This window comes from Homo sapiens, chromosome 20 (assembly GCF_000001405.40).
Source record: "Homo sapiens chromosome 20, GRCh38.p14 Primary Assembly".
Lineage (NCBI taxonomy): Eukaryota > Metazoa > Chordata > Mammalia > Primates > Hominidae > Homo > Homo sapiens.
Window position 1 is genome coordinate 24,726,970 of NC_000020.11, and position 17,409 is coordinate 24,744,378.

At 48.8% G+C, this 17,409-nt stretch overlaps 5 annotated features.

Annotated features, from left to right (window-relative positions):
• Window positions 7,816–8,722: an enhancer, noted in NCBI's record as "H3K4me1 hESC enhancer chr20:24715421-24716327 (GRCh37/hg19 assembly coordinates)". NCBI's record gives its function as "activates a minimal SCP1, AML or CMV promoter by ChIP-STARR-seq in naive H9 embryonic stem cells {active_cell/tissue: H9 hESC(naive)}" and the evidence as "EXISTENCE:reporter gene assay evidence [ECO:0000049][PMID:30033119]".
• Window positions 10,332–11,158: an enhancer, noted in NCBI's record as "H3K4me1 hESC enhancer chr20:24717937-24718763 (GRCh37/hg19 assembly coordinates)". NCBI's record gives its function as "activates a minimal SCP1, AML or CMV promoter by ChIP-STARR-seq in primed H9 embryonic stem cells {active_cell/tissue: H9 hESC(primed)}" and the evidence as "EXISTENCE:reporter gene assay evidence [ECO:0000049][PMID:30033119]".
• Window positions 12,305–12,374: an enhancer, noted in NCBI's record as "active region_17644". NCBI's record gives its function as "activates an Ori minimal core promoter by ATAC-STARR-seq in GM12878 lymphoblastoid cells {active_cell/tissue: GM12878}" and the evidence as "EXISTENCE:reporter gene assay evidence [ECO:0000049][PMID:35858748]".
• Window positions 12,385–12,434: an enhancer, noted in NCBI's record as "active region_17645". NCBI's record gives its function as "activates an Ori minimal core promoter by ATAC-STARR-seq in GM12878 lymphoblastoid cells {active_cell/tissue: GM12878}" and the evidence as "EXISTENCE:reporter gene assay evidence [ECO:0000049][PMID:35858748]".
• Window positions 15,428–16,328: an enhancer, noted in NCBI's record as "H3K27ac-H3K4me1 hESC enhancer chr20:24723033-24723933 (GRCh37/hg19 assembly coordinates)". NCBI's record gives its function as "activates a minimal SCP1, AML or CMV promoter by ChIP-STARR-seq in naive H9 embryonic stem cells {active_cell/tissue: H9 hESC(naive)}" and the evidence as "EXISTENCE:reporter gene assay evidence [ECO:0000049][PMID:30033119]".

The window sequence follows — 17,409 nt, forward strand, 5'->3', positions numbered from 1 at the left end:
GCCTTCAACTGATTGGAAAAGGTGCACTCACATTAGGGAATACAATCTGCTTCACTCAAAGACCACCAATTTGAATGTTAATTTCATCCATAACAACCTCACAGAAACAGCTAAAATAATGTTTGACCACATAAATAGGGAACCATGGCGCAGCCAGCTGGACTCATAACGTTAACCATCACAGTAGCCCTGGGTCCTAGGCACCCAAAAATTTCTCTAGGAATAGTTGCTGGCTTTGTCTAGATTTAGGGAAATCCTCAATCAGAGCTTTCAATTCAGCCTGGTTCCCGGGTTTACATTCTGCAGCTGTCAGTATACCTGGTTTCTGGGAGCAATAAGACTTTGGAGACAACAATTATTTGGGGGGTCATACAAGAGTCATTGGTAAAAGCTAGACAGACAAGGGCAAGAGGAAGGAGGAGCTGATGGGAGTGCAGAGGAGAGGGGCCAGAAGGAAAGTAAACAACGAGATATTCGTACAAGGGGCTGCCACACAGCAATCAAAAGAAACGAACCATGCTACAAACAATGACAGTGAATCCCACAGATAACCAGCAGGGCAAAGAGGTCAGAAACAAGAGATAACACACTATATTACACCATTTGTATGAGGAGAAGGCCAGGAAATCCTACACGTTAGGGAGAGGCTTTAGAATAGTGGTTACCTTGTGGCAAGGGGGTGCTGTGCACTGGGAAGAGACATGGCTGGTTCCCTGGGGACTGTGTGACCTACGTCTCAAGCAGGTGGTAGCTACATGGACTGGCAGTTATGTGGGGTGGTAGTTATGGGGGGGTGGTAGTTATTCAAGGTGGTAATTACACAGAATGGTAGTTACATGGGGTGGTAGTTACATGGGGTGGTAGTTATTCAAGGTTGTATTTGCAGGGTGATAGTTACATGGATGGTAGTTGTTTGAGGTGTAGTTACATGGGGTAGTAGATATTTGGGGTGGTAGTTACAGAGGTTGGTAAACACACAGGGTGGTAGTTACATGTGGTGGTAGTTACATGGGATAGTAGTTACACAGAGTGATAGTTACATGAGGTGTTAGTTATTTGGGGTAGTAGATATGTAGATGGTAGTTACTTGGGGTGGTAGTTATTCAGGGTGGTAGATACATAGGGTGGCAGTTGTGTGAGGTGGTAGTTTTTTGGAGTGGTAGCTACATGGAGTGGTAGCTACATGAGTTCGTAGTTATTTGGGGTGGTAGTTACACAGGGTAGTAGTCACATGGGGTGGTAGTTATTTGGGATGGTAGTTGTTACATGGGGTGATAGTTATATGCAGTGGTAGTTATCTGGGGTGGTAGTTACATAAGGTGGTAGTTATGTGGGGTGGTATTTACACGGGGCGGTAGTAACATGCGGTGGTAGTTACAAGGGGTGGTAGTGTGAACCCAGAAAATCTGAGACAGGTCTCAGTTAATTTACAAAGTTTATTTTGCCAAGGCTGAGGATGCGCACCTGTGACACAGCCCCAGGAGGTCCTAATGACATGTGCCTAAAGTGGTCACAGCACAGTTTGGTTTTATACATTCTAGGGAGACATGAGACATCAGTTAATATATGCAAGATGAACACTGGTTCGGTCTGGAAAGGCGGGACAACTTGGAGGAAAGATGGGAAGACTCAAAGTGAGGAGTGGGCTCCCAGGTTGTAGGTAGATAAGAGACAAATTGTTGCATTCTTTTGAGTTTCTGATTAGCCTCTTCAAAGGAGGCAATCAGATGAGCATTTATCTCAGTGAGCAGGGGCGACTTTGGAGAGAATGGGAGGCAGGTTGGCTCTAAGCAGTTCCCAGCTTGACTTTTCCCTTTAGCTTAGCGATTTGAAGGCCCCAAGATTGATTTTCCTTTCACAGTAGTTACATGGGGTGGTAATTACAAAGGGTGGTAGTTACATGGGATGGTAATAACTCAGGATGGTAGTTACATGGGGTGGTAGTTACATGGGGTGGTAGTTACATAGGGTGGTAGTTGTCAGAGTTGTAATTATGTGGATTGGTAGTTATTCAGGGTGATAATTAAAATGGGTGGTAGTTATGCAGGATGTTAGTTACACGGCGTGGTGGTTATTGTGGGTATTACTTACACAGGGTGGTAGTTATTCGGGGTGGTAGTTACACTGGGTGGTAGCGATACAGGGTGGTGGTCATTCAGGGTGGCAATTATTGAAGGTGATAGTTATTCGGGGTGGTAGTGACACAGGGTGGTATTTAGGTGGGTTGGTGGTTATTCTGGGTGATAGTTATTCAGGGTGGTAGTTACACTGGGCTGTAGTTAAAAGGGTTGGTGATTATTTGAGGTGGTAGTGACACAGGGTGGTAGTTATTCAAAGTGGTAGTTATTTGGAGTGATAGTGATGCAGGGTGGTAGTTAGGCGGATTGGTGGTTATACAGGGTGGTAGTTATTCAGGGTGGTAGTCACATGGGTGGTGGTTATATGGGTGATACACAGGGTGGTGGATATGCAGGGTGGTAGTCACATGGTGTGGTAGTTATTCAAGGTGGTAGTTATTTGGGGTGGTAGTGATACAGGGTGGTAGTTAGGCGGGTTGGTAGTTATTCGAAGTGGTGGTTACACAGGGTGGTAGTCACATGAGGTGGTGATTATTGCATGGTACTCACACGCGGTGGTGGATATACGGGTGGTAGTCACACGGGGTGGTAGTGACACAGGGTGGTAGTTATTCAAAGGGGTAGTTATTTGGGGTGGTAGTGACACAGGATGGTAGTTAGGCGGGTTGGTGGTTATACAAAGTGGTAGTTATTCAGGGTGGTAGTCACACAGGGTGGTGGTTATAGGGGTGGTACTCACACAGGGTGGTGCATATACGGGGTGGCAGTCACACAGGGTGGTAGTTATTCGAGGTGGTAGTTTTTCGGAGTGGTAGTTATTCAGAGGGTGGTAGTTAGGCAGGTTGGTGGCTATTCGGGGTGGTAGTCAGTTATTGGGGTGGTACTCACACAGGGTGGTGGCTATGCAGGGTGGCAGTCACATGGGGTGGTAGTTATTGGGGTGGTGGCTATGCGGGGTGGCAGTCACACAGGGTGGTAGTTATTGGGGTGGTGGCTATGCGGGGTGGCAGGTGGGGTGGCAGTCACACAGGGTGGTAGTCAGTTATTGGGGTGGTACTCACACAGGGTGGTGGCTATGCGGGGTGGCAGTCACACGGGGTGGTAGTTATTGGGATAGTGACTATGTGGGGTGGCAGGCGGGGTGGCAGTCACATGGGGTGGTAGTTATTGGGGTGGTGGCTATGCGGGGTGGCAGGCCGGTTGGCAGTTGCGTGGGTGCAGCTCTCCAGTTTTGTGCACTTTGTGTTTGTCATTCCCGCTGGTGCGCTTGTAAATGTTTAATAAGCAGCTGTCTGGGCAAGAAAGCTCTAGTTTGCAGTGTTTGCCCCTTCCGAGGCATGACTCTTCTCACCTGTGGCCACTTCCAGGCTGCACATGTGACGTCCATGAGCACAGTTAGGGAGGGCCGTGGATCCGCATCACCTTGCGAGCATAAATGCAGTCAAATGTGAATGAGCTGCAAGTGACAAGTTTGAGTATTTTTTCCCTTCATTTTAATACAATTCATCTAATAGTAAGTTTTTAACGTTTAATTTTTAATGATTTCTGTGTTAACAACTGGCTCCCAAGACCCCTGAAAATTTAGCACTTAGGTTTCAGGAGCTGGAGCAAGCTGGCTCCAGCATCCACTGGTGATATCTCAATGCAATTACTTAAGAAACAAAATTTTTCCTGCTTAAGAGTTGAAGGAACAAAGGGAAGTACAGAGTGAAGAAATGAGTAGGTGTCTGGCTCTTGTGAGGAAAGGAGAGGAAGAGAGTGCCCTGAAGAATCTGAGCATTGGAGCGGACACGGGGTTCCAATGCCGGACCCTTTGCTCGTGGTTGAACTTGAACTGTGCCTGCCCGCTGCCGGCTTGAGCTTGTGGGCCTGCACAGCCAGAGGCGCACACCCCTCAGAGCTGCTTGAGAGACCGGGGGATGTCCCTCCACCCAGTTACCCAGCCCCGAAGGCCCACCATGCTGAATCAACACTGGTGTCGGGTTTACTAATTATGTATATCAATAAGGACAAGAGTCATTCATCTATAGCAGCAGTGCACTCAGAATTTTTTATACATACACAATATCAAGTATTCTGCTTTACTGTGTCAGAAATTTTAACCCAGTATTTTTGAAATCCAAAGAGCATCTTTCAGACAGGCCTTTGAACTGGGAAACAACATAAAAATCCTCTGTAAGACACAGGTGCCTAGGTTAGTATCGGAGACATGGCAGAAGAAGATTCCATTCCTCAAGGTGGTGGTTGCTGTCAGGATGTGGCTGCTGCGGCTGTTGATATTGGCAGAGGCTGTGCTGTGAGGAGCCCATGAGGCCCCTTCGAGGGCTCAATCGATGGGAAAGTACCCCCAGCACGGATGGCCCAAAAGTGGCAGCACGGAAGCCAAAGTGGTTGGTACGGGAAAGTCGGCCAGGGGGTCTGGCTGGGCTGGGGATTCAAGTTCCTGAGGAAGCCCCCAGGCTCACAGGAGCTGATTCTCCATATCATCCCACTGTTCCACCCTCCACTGGGCCTCCTGCCCCACCCGCCGCCTCCCTTGTCTGGCAGATGCGGAGAGCATAATACAGGCTCTTTTCCACTGCTCATCTTCCTGAGAGAGAACTTCTTCCCTGCAACATGGCTGTTTAATGACTGTGTCTGCAGGAGAGAAACAGCATCACATCCGGGTAGGGCTGAACCGCTGGGGAGTCCTGGGCATTTGGCGGAATTCTGCACATCATCCTGTGTGCAGGCAGGGGGTACTGGGGTTTGGAATACAGGGATTTTCCTGTCCATGATAAAATACCTCTGACTCTACAGGGAAGCAGGCATACTTCACTCAATTAACATACTAAAAAGTATAAGCTCTGGCCAGGAAAATGAAGCCTCTTTACTCGAAAGTAGCCGTCCTCATAGTCAGCTCCCAAAGGCAGGCGCCGGCTTGCTCTGCAGGCAGCAGATAAGCAGACAGTACATTTGGGTACCATCCGAAAGATAATTGGCCATTTGCTTACTGCTCTCAATTTCTATCTCTGGCTCATGGATGCTTTTCTCTCGTTTTTTCTCGGCTGAGAACCCAACAAGGGCTCCACACTGAGCTCCAGTAGGGCAGGGCGTTGAAGCCATTTCCACCCAACACCAGCCAGCAGGGGGGAGCTGCCCACAGCACTGTAAGGAGGGATGAGGGGCAGGCCACAGATATGGCCTCAGTCTACTCTCAAACCCCCTCCCAGTGTCCCCTCCACTGGTTGTTGCCACCCTTAGACCCTTGGAGGACCACTTGAGGTCACTGCAAGCATGATGATGGCCCAGACACTTCCAAGACAGGCTGAATCAGAATATCTGAGCAAGTCTGATGCAGAAACCTGCGTTGTAACAAACCCTGGATAGATTTGAAGTTTGAGGGCCACTGGGCACCCCGCTAGAATGCAAGCTTCCAGTGAGGAGGGACTTTGCTTTGTTCATTGCTATCTCCTCAGCACCTCAGAGATAGCAATTAAACATTTTCAACATTTAAACATTTCTGGAAGGCACCTCTCTGGGGGAGAGTTCCCTAATCTTAGCCATGAAGGAGTTGATCAGGTTAGAGTTGGCAATGTGACAATCATCCTCCCACTCCCCAGTCCTGCTCAGGGCAGACATCACTAATCAATTACAGCACTCTTAATGCCTACAGCCCAAGCAGCACCACCCTGCATTCCAGGCTGCCACAGCAAACCCAGCAAAGGCAGTGCCTGAGAGAGCTCATCCTTACCATCTGGGAGTCACTGTGTTCCTGATCCTTCCCAGTTCGGAGACCCTGTGGACATTGTGATGAGGCTCCAAAACTGGCCCCACCACACGGAGACATCTGCCAGTGGGCGTCTTGCTGCTGCTCTGAGGAGTGTAGGGCCTGGGCCTTCCCTGTGAGAAGGAGGCGTTCTGGTCATCACAACAGAATGCAGTGAGGGGCAAAGCCTGTGGCCCCAGAGAGCCAGTTGCTTGGCCTCGGGAGGCCTCCATGTTTCCATGGGTTTACATCATGGAGAATCTCTGGCCACATGTTTAAGGTGAAGGAGCACAAATGATGATTGTGAGCATTTGCTCAACATGATTTACCACCCTTGGCCTATTTTGTGCCTGCCAGTTGCTGTTCTAGAAGCTGGAGACATAGGATGAACGTGGTAGGAAAGCTACAGCCTACGGAGGAGCAATTTACTCAACAGACTTCTCCCTGAGCCACAGGGACCTCAGCAGCGAGCCCGGCAAGGATGCCATCCATCGGCCTCTGTCAGCCGTGGAACTCATGGATTATTTCTATTCTTTTCCTTAGACTTTTAACTGCATTCTGAATAGCAACTCATCTGAGGAGGAGAATATTCTAGACTTTGCTTAAGATCTGATTCTCCCTTTAACCTGTCCTATGAAAACTGAGCCTGTTATTGGATTCTCCAGACTGTTTTCTTCATGGGAAATGGGGATAAGAATTTCTGCCTGCTGGGGAACTGAGCACAATATAACTATGAAAATGCTAAAAATATACCATTCTTCTCAAAGGAGTTGAGATCACCTAAAACAAATGACATAGCCACAGTATAGTCAGTAAAGCAGAACTAGAGTGTGGAAAATCAGGAACTAGGGAAGAAAGACAGAGACACTAATGGGCTTTAAGAGGTTGAGCAGCAAAACCTAAAAATCCTTGACATCAAGTGATGTCCAGTTAATGAAAAGAGGAGATCCTCACAACATATCCAGACACGGAAAGTTCTTTTTCCTTCCACAGGATAGCTTTGGCATAAAGAGGAACATATTTCACAGAGTTTATGAAGGACAGTTTGTCTCCAGAAGTTTCTGCATGTGCTCAGCCTTCTGCGGCAGCAAATAGCAGTAGGCATATGTGGAACTCTCTGCAGAGATCTTCAGAAGACTCAGCCCTCTGCAGTATGAACTGTGAACAATGATGGCGGGAGATTCTCTGTTTGTCAAAACCAACCAAGGGCAGGGACTAGTCCCAGCTGAGCTGGCGTGGAGCTTCAGAGAAATGGAGTTTAACTGTGGCCATCAGAGGAATTTCTATTTCAGAATTACTTAGAAGAAGAATTCAATCTGGGTCAGAGGGCAGGCTCTGGAAAGGTGGGCTTTCTGAGAGGCAGGAAGGTGGGGAGGAGCAAACACTGTGTTCAGGGACCCCTGAGTACAAGCAGTGCTTTCTCCCCACCTCCCCTTCCAGGTCTGGGGTTTGGTTTTAGAGCAGGGAGGACCAGGAGTGGGTAGACACCCAACATTCGTATGCACAGCCACGTAATGTGGTCATCAGCACTGTCCTGCTGAGCTGCCCTGGCCACATGCTGAGCTGCCGCCACTACATGCTGAGCCGCCCCCGCCACATGCTGAGCCGCCCCTGCCCCCACGTGCTGGGCTTTGGGATGTCCCTACCATGGGCCCATCCCCTCAGTCCGCTCATGTGGGCCACTGTCCAAACCACTGGCCTGGTCTCTTCAGAAGTGTCCAGGCGGCGAAGGACAGTGAAGGCTGAGAAGGCACACTCCAGAGGAAAAGTGGACAGAGCCACGCGGCAAGCAAAGGTAACACTCCACGCACGCATGGGCCCCAGACAGGGCAGAAAGACTGATCATTGGCATCTCTGAGAAAACTGACAAAGAATGATTAGATGGTAGTATTAATGCTAAGTTTCCTGAGTTTTGATTATTATACTGTGACTATGTGATAGGAAGGGCCCTTGCTCTCAGGCCATATGTTGAAATATTTAGGGATAAAAAATGACATTACCTATGCACACAGAAAGTTATACTGGGCTGGAATGCACACGGTTGGTGAGTGGAGCTAAAGGGCATAGATGTAAATTGTCTTAAACTTACCGAAAATTTGCGGATTTAGGACAAAGAGCTCCTACATACCCTTTACCCTCATTCACCAATTGTGTACATTTTGCCGCACCATTTTCTGTGTGTACATATGTAATATTATTTTACATACGATTCTTATTTGTCAATTATATCTCAATAAAACTGGAAAAATTGTTGAGAAGGCAGATGTCATGTGATCTCTTACCCCTCCGCCCCAAAAAGACACAGAGAAACCAATCCCTCACCCAGGCACAGGGTCCGCTAGGCTCACCAGGTGCTCTGGCAGAGAAGCACTCCCCCAAAGTACAGGCAGGAAGGGCCGAGTCAGGCAGGCCCAATTCCTTCCCAACACTCCCCAGCCTAATAACTCAGCCTGACTCCCTGGGGAGGAAGGAAGACACCAGCGTGTTACTTCCAAGAAGAAAAGTCGTGAGGGAGCGGGGAGGGCCACGATGATGTCTGCGGCCATCACCAAGGCTCCATTTCTAACAGACAGCTCTGCCTCCACCAGCTGGCACGTCGGGTGGCTCTCTACAGCCTAGAGCCAAGCTGTCTGAGGTCTCTCCTTATCTGCTTAGGAATGCATGCTTTACAGTGAGATGGCCAAGTGTAATCCTTAGCTTAATCAAGTTCATCCAGTGCCCCAGGGGATAGGGACAGCCTGGGAGCCATTTAAATCACACAAGCTACTGCCCCTTGGAGAGACTGGGGGTGGGGGAATGGGTTCTTTCATGTAGGTGATGGCTTCCCTCTTCATCCATGCTGCTGCAAATAGAAATAATCATGTATATAGGCCACAATTTCCTTATTCACTGTGAAATAAGCCAGACACAGAAAGACAAATACCACATTATCTCATTACATGTGGAATCTAAACAGATTGAACTCACAGGATGGAGGAGAATGGCGGTTACCAGGGGCCGGGCTGAGGGAGTGGAGGCGGAAAGAGGAGCTGTTGGGCAAAAGGTACTAAGTCACAGTTAAGCAGGAGGAATCGGTCTCACTGATCTAGTGCACAGACAGGTAACCTTAGCGAATAAAAATGTATTATGTATTTTTAAATTGCTAAAAGAGTAGATTTTAAATGTTCTCACCACACATACACACATGCACACACACATGCACACACACACGCACACACACACACGATACTCAAGTGAGGAGGGGGCTCTGCTAAGGCACCTGCAAACGCATGCACACCCCACCACAGCACACCCCCCACAAACTTACACAATTACTATTTTTCCACTTATTTTTTAAAAAGATTGGAGAGGGCTTATGATCCTGACGTGTGTACATTTTTGTGATTCTGAATGTGATTGTACTGATGAAGCATAAAGCACTGTTTACTCTGTAATAATCCACACGTGACTTGTCCCTTGGACACGCCAGTGGTATGGGCGAAAAAGGCCCTGAACACCCAGGCCCACCCAGACTTGCCTCTTGCCGTAAGGGTCATGGCTTATCTTCCCAGGAAGCAATGCCACAGCATCCAAGAGTTTCTTAGCAAACAGCAAACGATGCTGAGTCAGGGAGGTAGGGGGGATTCCTCCCCTCTGAAATGAATAAAAGACTTCCTGCAATTGCCGTGCTTCAAACGTCCGGTACCATCTCTGTTTACCAAGGTGTTTAAAGATTGCTCATTTTCTCCAAGTTTCTAATAGCATAAATTATCTTACTGCTCTAAATAAAGAGGTTATTATATATTATTTTAGATTTTCAGCAACCACATGCATTTAGCAGTTAGAGATATTAGTGCTGCCAAGTGACTTTGAAAGATAAATACTGGTGGTTAGAAGAATGCCATGCTTGCGCTTGTTTTATTAAACAGAAATCCAGATCACAATGGCTCTATTCCAGTCCTCTACTCCCTGAGTGTCCAATTAACTAGAAGACAGAAAATACACTTTTTCTAATTTAAATAGACTCTGCTCCATATTAATTCCAAGGGGTTATACATTGGTCACCTATTTCCAAATCCTCTAATACAAATGGTGGAGCCGTGGTTTCTGCTGGTGCCCTGGTGACTCCCCAGGCTCATGGCTCGAGGCACTGCGCAGGCCCTCTGCAGCCCCTGGAGAATCTGCCTGAGGGCTTTCCCAGCATTGTGGGGTCGGCCTCACAAGCATCCCTTAGCTGATTACAAGTGGGAATTGGAGGGTGAATAGCCCCAGTTCCTGGCCCTTGGGCTGGGAGGACCCTGGGGTATTACCTATCCCTCTCCCCGTGGCTGAACCCTAGCTGCCCACAGCTTTGTCCTGGCTCCTTCCCACTCCCCATACCCCAGCTGGAGCTTCCTGAGATCAGCTCCCAAATGAGCTACCACTCTCCAACCTTGTCATCTACTTTTGTGGGAAAGTCACCTGAGTTACCCAAAAATTCCCCCTAAAGATCCTCTTCTTCCTGCAGCCAGCAGGCAAGGAGGAGGCTCCCAGTGTGGGGGAGGGGAGGCGAGGAAGGAGAGAGCACAGGGTTTTGAGCCCTGCAGGTAGAAGCACATCCTTACACTGGAGCACGAAGGAGGAAGCTGCCATATGCAGGGCTGGGATTCCGGGGTCCCTGGAGCTGCAGAACCGACTCTGCCCTGGGCCGAGAGCTGCTCTCGAGAGTCAGTAGATGACTGACAAGTCTTAGCAGAAGCCATGAAAAGCTTCCCTCCTTCCTTTCCTACTTTTCTTTCCAGGCGTTCAGCAAACACCCCCTGGGGAGAGTACTACTGGTGGCCAGGCCCTGTGTAGGACAAACATTGGTGGACGAGGCAACACCACCCTCCTTGTGGAGGCACCAAGGCCTCTGTCCTGCCCCCTGACTTCCCTGGAGCCCCTCATCACTCCCTGGACACAGGCGGCATGGACTGAGGGTGCTCTGCAACAGGGCCCCTGGGTTTGCTGCACCAGCATCCTCAGCAGGTGCCTCTCACCTGCCTCCAGCTCAGATCCCCAGGATAACACGGTTGGTCCTGAGGAGACTCCCACCAAGAACCTGGGTAGCACCGTCCAGCCAAGATAGAGGAGGGTCCTCAGCCTGAGAGCTGGGAGGAGGCCTTGTCCTTGCTGAGGCTGCCTCAGAAGCTGGCCCTGAGATAAGGATTTGGTTTATCTGGGAGGGGATTCCAGGAAGGACCTGGAAGGGAGTGAGGAAGGAAGGGAAGTGCCTCAAGGAAGGGACCAAAGTCAAAACCCAGGAGGAGGAAATCAGTAACACCGAGGCCAGTGGGATCACGAGCCTGGGGTCAACTTCGGGAGACCTGAGGTCTATGCCTCAGGGTCTGTGCCTTGGAGTGTCCTCTCCAGAGAGCCAGGCACCTGGGCTGGATCCAGCAGCTCCAGTAGGTCTGCAGCTCAGGGCAGCTTCCTGGGGCCTGACTCTCCAGCCCTTCAGGAAAGAACTCTGAGAAGGAGCATATGGTAAGAGGCCATGGGCACCTGCCAGACCCACAGTGCTATGGATGCGGGGACTTGGACAGAGACCTTAGGTCTGGGGTGCGGGTGCATGTGCACTACACTGGCCCTCCCGACCCCAGGAGTGAGGCCAGGAAGTGAGAGCCTCAGGGCACTGAGGTGTAGTCCCTGCATCCCTCCTCCTGCCTGCAGGGTCAACGCAGGATGAACTGCATGGACCATCATTGCTTTCCACAACAGCACAGGGGCCTAGGGATTCACCCATCAGTGGGAAATCAAGCATCAGCCGTGTGCTGGGAAGCCAGGGTGCTGTGGTCGCATGTTTGTGTGTCTGTGTCCCTCCAAATCCAGATGCTGAAACCTAATCACCAAGGTCCTGATGTGAGGAGGTGGGGCCTTTAGCAGGTACTTAGATCATGATGGGGAGCCCTCATGAGTGTGATTGGTGCTCTTATAAAAGAGGACTGAAGGGGTTGTTAGCCCCTTTTGGTGTTTCCACCATGTGAGGACACATGGAAGGCCCTATCTGGGAGGAACAGGCCCTCACCAGCCCCTGAATCTGCTGGTGCCTTGACCTTGGACTTCCCAGACTCCAAAACTGTGAGCAATATACATTGCTGCTTATAAATCTCCCAGTCTCGGGTATTTTGATACAGCAGCAGGAGCAGATTAAGACACAGTGAAAAGTCCCAGCATCTGACTTTAGACAGCTGACCTGGTCAGTTCTCAAAGTGGGGTCCCAGGACCAGTAAGGCATTACCTGGAAACTTCTTGGATATGAAGCTCTCAGTCCCCACCTCCCAGACCTCTAAACTCTAAAGGAGCTGTGACACCTGTTCACAGGCCCTCGGGACTCTGAGGCAAGCTGGCATTGGAAAGCCACTGAACCAGGGCGATTGGGGAGGTCTTCATTAACTGTGGGAAGAAACCGAGGGGAGGGCATGTTTGCTACTGACACAGCCTCTTCACATTGCTCCCCAAGAGACAACCATGCCGCCCCAGTGGTTGGCCGGACATGGAGACACTAACTGGGTCTTAAGGTACTTAGGACAAGAGCAAGAGAAGATTACATCTCAACACCGCACAGGGAAGGATTGAAGCAATCTCTTACACCCCAGGGAAGCAGAAAGAAGAACGTTAAAAAGGAAAGTAAAACTGCACATGGCTCAAAACTTCAAAGAGTTCTGAACATTTTCAAATAAAAAGTGAAAGCCTTTCTCTTATTTTCTAGGCTGGTTCATCACTTCTTAGATGTCCTTTTGAGAGAGGCTTCTGTGCATATGCCAACACAGGTATTTTATAGGGTTAGTTATTTATTTGTTATTCTGTTTTTACACTGTTCTGCCTTTTGTTATTCCCTTAAACATATGTCTTCGAAATGTTTCTGTATTGGTAGAGAGAGGGTCATTTCATTCTTTGTGTATGTTAATAACTTGTTACTGAAGTGTATACATAAACACAAGTGAACAAATTGTAGTTTTTCCATCTGTAGAATTGTCATAATCTAAATAATCTGTTTCTTAATGATAGATTATTTGATTTTTTTGTTCTGGTTTCATTCTTGCAACAATATTTGTAAGTGTTTCTTTTTCCTGGCTAACTTATGAGTACAGCCACCAGGTCAATTCCTGGCAGGGGTACTGCTAAGTCAAAGGGTAGCTGCATTTTTTAACTTTGATGGATATGGCCCATTAACTTTCCAGAGCAGCCCTCTGCAACTTACACTCCTGTTGACAATTTACAATTGCACCCTTTTCCCTATGCTCACAGCAGCCACGAGTGCCATTGCATTTTTAATTTTGCTACTTTGAAATTATATTTCTTTGTTCTTTTTATATGTTTCTTTAATTTTGAGAGAAATTGAGCAAGCCTTTTAAAAACTGTATTTATTAACCAATTTCATTTATATTTCTGTGGGCTTGTTTTTCAGTGGGGTTTGTAAATGTTTTTCTTACTGACTGATGAGCACTCTTTGTAAAACGTGTTGCTCAATGAAGCCTACAAGCCTTTTCCCATTTGGGTTTCAAATATTTTCTTCAGTTAATTGTTCACTTTTTCTTTAATTGTGGGTTTTTGTGTCCTCGATGATGATTTTTATTTCTAGTCAAATATCTCAACATTTCCCATTAAAGTTTTCAAATATATATCTTGCTTAGAAAGGCATTTCACATTCACAACTATAAATAAACTCACCTTTTAAATTTCAGAATGTTTTCATTTCACTCTTGTACACTCACATCTCTGATACCTCTGGAACTTATTTTGGAACAATAAGGCAGTGGGTCAGAATTCTGTGTGGTTTTCCAAATACCACATTGTCTCTAAGCCATTTATTCAATATTTCCTCTCTTGCCCTCTGATTTAAAATGCTTCCTATCATACACACTCGATTTGAGTATACATTTGTATATATCCTGGGGCCTCTTTCTGCTCCACACAAACCTTCGTGTCCATCTGCTTTCATTCTTGAACCTTCACGGTGCATTTGACATTTCACAGGACTACTCCCCAATTCCCTTCTTCCACCTGACTCTTCCTGTTTATTTTCCCACATCGATTTCCCTTCACATAGCATGTTAGTGTTTCAACTGGGATTGCACTGATCCTATGAGTAATTTAGGGTTAATGGTCACCTTCATAATATTGATGCATTCTAGCCAATAGCAAGTTATCGCTCGCAGTTTTAGTTTATCCCTTAGCAGAATTTTCAGGTTTTGTTTATATAGGTCCTACATATTTCTTTTAAAGTTTGTATTTTGCTATTGTCTCAACTAAATGCTATCTTAAATGCAATATTTTTTCATTATTTTTTTTGACAGGGTCTCACTGTGTTGCCCAGGCTGGAGTGCAGCAGCTCAGTCTTGGCTCACTGCAACCACCCGCTCTTGTCTCAAGTGATTCTCCTGCCTCAGACTCCCAGGTAGCTAGGACTACAGGTGCACACCTCTATGCCTGGCCAATTTTTCATATTTTTTGTAGAAGCAGGGTTTGCCATGTTGCCTAGGCTAGTCTTGAACTCTTGGACTCAAGTGATTCGCCCACCTTGACCTCTCAAAGTGCTGGGATTATAGGTGCGAGCCGCAGAACCCGGCCTTTTTTCATAATATTTTAACAAGTTATTTGTACATAGAAAAGTTATTGGTTATGCATAATAATTTTCCTACCTGAGTTATTGTTTTCCATAGGTTCAGCCAGTTCTCCTGGGTATTCCAAGCACACAGTCATGTGATCTGTGAACAGTGGTAACTTAGCCTTGACATCTCACTATTTTACTGGCACTTCTGACTCTCCTCTGATTTTATTGTCTAGCCTTCTGTAACCAGCCTACATAAGATCACAGCTTCGGTCTGTATTCACAGAAATAAATTCCCAAGCTTGAGAACGTTCTTTTCATTTGTGCACGTTACTTGATGTGGGCTCAGAAGTAGGCCACTGTGGTTGTGAGAGGTAGTGTCCCAGGGACAACAGAAGGTGGCTCATGCGAGCAAAGGCCAGGGAGGCAGAGCCTGAGAGAGGGGCCGGCCACTCTGCCCCTCCCTGGAGTCCATGCCCAGTGGGCTGTGGGGGACACAGATCCCACCGAGGCACCCAGGCAGGAGCTGTGCGGTTCCAGCCTCTTTACCTCATGGTTGGCAGGCCCGGGCGTCTCTCTCCACCTGTTTTGTCTCCTCTTTGCCCCATCGGCAACCCCAGCCTCTCCATTTCTGAAAAGAGCAGAGAAAGGACAACATTTGGGGAATGACATCAATAAGAGAGGGTAGCCTTCACCTGCAGAGGGTGAGCAGCCTGCGGCCCCAGCCTGGACTTGCCCAGAGGAGGAGGTCAAGAGGGCACCAGCAAGGGGTTGGCTCGGCAAGATCAGAACCCTCAGTCTCCAGGAAGCAAGATGCCAACAGCATCTGTGGCTAGGAGTCAATCACCAGCGTCCCCTCAGACCCCACGTCTGCCCCTCCCAGCCCTTTCCCATGGCAGCTTCCTGGGATGACCTTCCTCCAGGCACAGCAGGGGCTGCCATCGCAGGGCAGCAAGTTGGAAGGGTGGGCTCCATGCACCCACCGAGGGGCCTTGCCTCCCCAGCCCTGACCACAGCCAGTTCCATGCACATGCTCACCAGCCTGACAGGGACCTGGGACTTATTGGCCATGAGCCTCAGACGTATTTGAAGGAGAAAATGTATTTTGGTTTTCTGCCAACCTTATAGTCTTTTATCAAAGAGAAGGCACTTGAAGGCGCTTCTCAGAGGGAGACTTTGGCAGGGCACCCTGCCCCGAGGTGGAGTCGCTCACCCCTTCCGCTTCCCAGTTCTGCTGCTGCAGCCTCCGAGGCTGGCTGAAGGCTGATGGCCCATCGCAAGGTGTCTGTGGCTGCTGTCCTTTTACTTTTAAAAAGTCACTCAGGCCTGAGAGCTGGGGATGGGTAGGCAGCCTGTGGCAAGACCTGCCCAGGGCTCTATCTCCAGCTGCCTGCCCCACCCATGCCCCCAGCCCATCAGCTCACACAGACACACAGCACAGCGTGGAGAGTGTTCCTAGAAGCAGCCACCTTGGAGGAGGGGTCCCCTGTTCCTGAGAACTCCAAGGCATTCCGCTCCCACCCTTCAAAGGGCACAGGTGGCTGCTTGTGGACCTGATGGTGCTCACACCCTTCACAGGGCACAGGTGGCTCCTTGTAGACCTGATGGCGCTTGGTATCCTGTCCTGAAACCATGGCCTCTCATTCATCTATAACTGGGTTACAGTCTATCAGATTTAAAAAAAAAAACTCAAAATAATAACCACCTATTACAATGGCCTTGGCTCCACCGCACCCACCAGTTCAGCATCGCAGGGTGGGCTGTGCATGCCATGGGCTGCTGGAGACCAGGAGGCCACCTGAAAGGCAGTGTGACCATCAGGCTGCCTCCACCACTGGGACCCTGGCATTGGACCACACTCTCACAGTGGGATGAAGTGTTTCTGCATGTTTCTCTGTCCTCCATCCATCCAGATCTCAGCGGGACCTCCTGCCCATCCTCCATGTGATTCAGAGTCCTCGAATGCACTCCATGCAGCAGTGAGGTGGTTCTTCCATGAACAGTTTTGTGCCCGCCACAGGCCAGGCACCATACCAGGTACTGGGACACCACCCCCCCACCACCACCTCTATGCGCTGAAGACCCTAATACCTTTAAAGCTGTTTGCTGCACATTACAATCACCCACAGAGCTTTTAAACTCCCCTAGTCCAGATTACTTCCATTCCAATTAAATTAGAATTGGGGGCAGGGCAGTTGAGGATTTTTAAAGCTCCCTGGGTGATTCCAAAGTGCAGCCAGGATTGCGAATCAACCCTTTAACATATCACTTTTATTTTAATTTCTATTTACTTGCAAAACAGTGCCTTTTCAAACTCGAATGTGCCTCTACACTCCTGGGAGTCTCACTCCAGGACAGGTTCTGGCTCAGCAGGTCTGGAGCAAGCCTGGGATTCTGTGTGGACCACAAGCTCCCAGGTGATCCTGATGCTTGCTTTGAGCCATGCAGCTTTGAACTCATTACCTCATTTGGTTTTAATGCCAACTCTCCCAGGCAGCAAGCCACAAGACCCGGAGTTGAGGCCACATGGTGGGTATTTTGAATCTTTGATACTCCACAGAGAAGCAGGTCTAAATCCCTGTGGATAAAGGAGGGCGTCTGTGAATAACAAGGGAGCAAGTGTGTCTTGGGAACTGGGCACGGACAGGGTCCCTCACCCAGGAGACACCTGTTTGCCTGCCTGCGTCCTCTAGGAGGCTTTGACTCTGTGGGGCCTCACAGAACACTGAGGATCTGCTCTCTGAGACCGGGAAGACTCGATATCCTCTTTCCCCTCCTCCTGGGCTGTGGGATCTGTGTACATCTCCCACACTGCTATCTCATGAAGAGTGAGTTCCTTGAGATCCCAATAGTAGCACTTTGGGAGGCCGAGGCGAGTGGATCATGAGGTCAGGAGATCGAGACCATTCCGGCTAACACGGTGGAACCCTGTCTCTATTAAAAAATACAAAAAATTAGCCAGGCGCGGTGGCGGGTGCCTGTAGTCCCAGCTACTCGGGAGGCTAAGGCAGGAGAATGGCGTGAACCCGGGA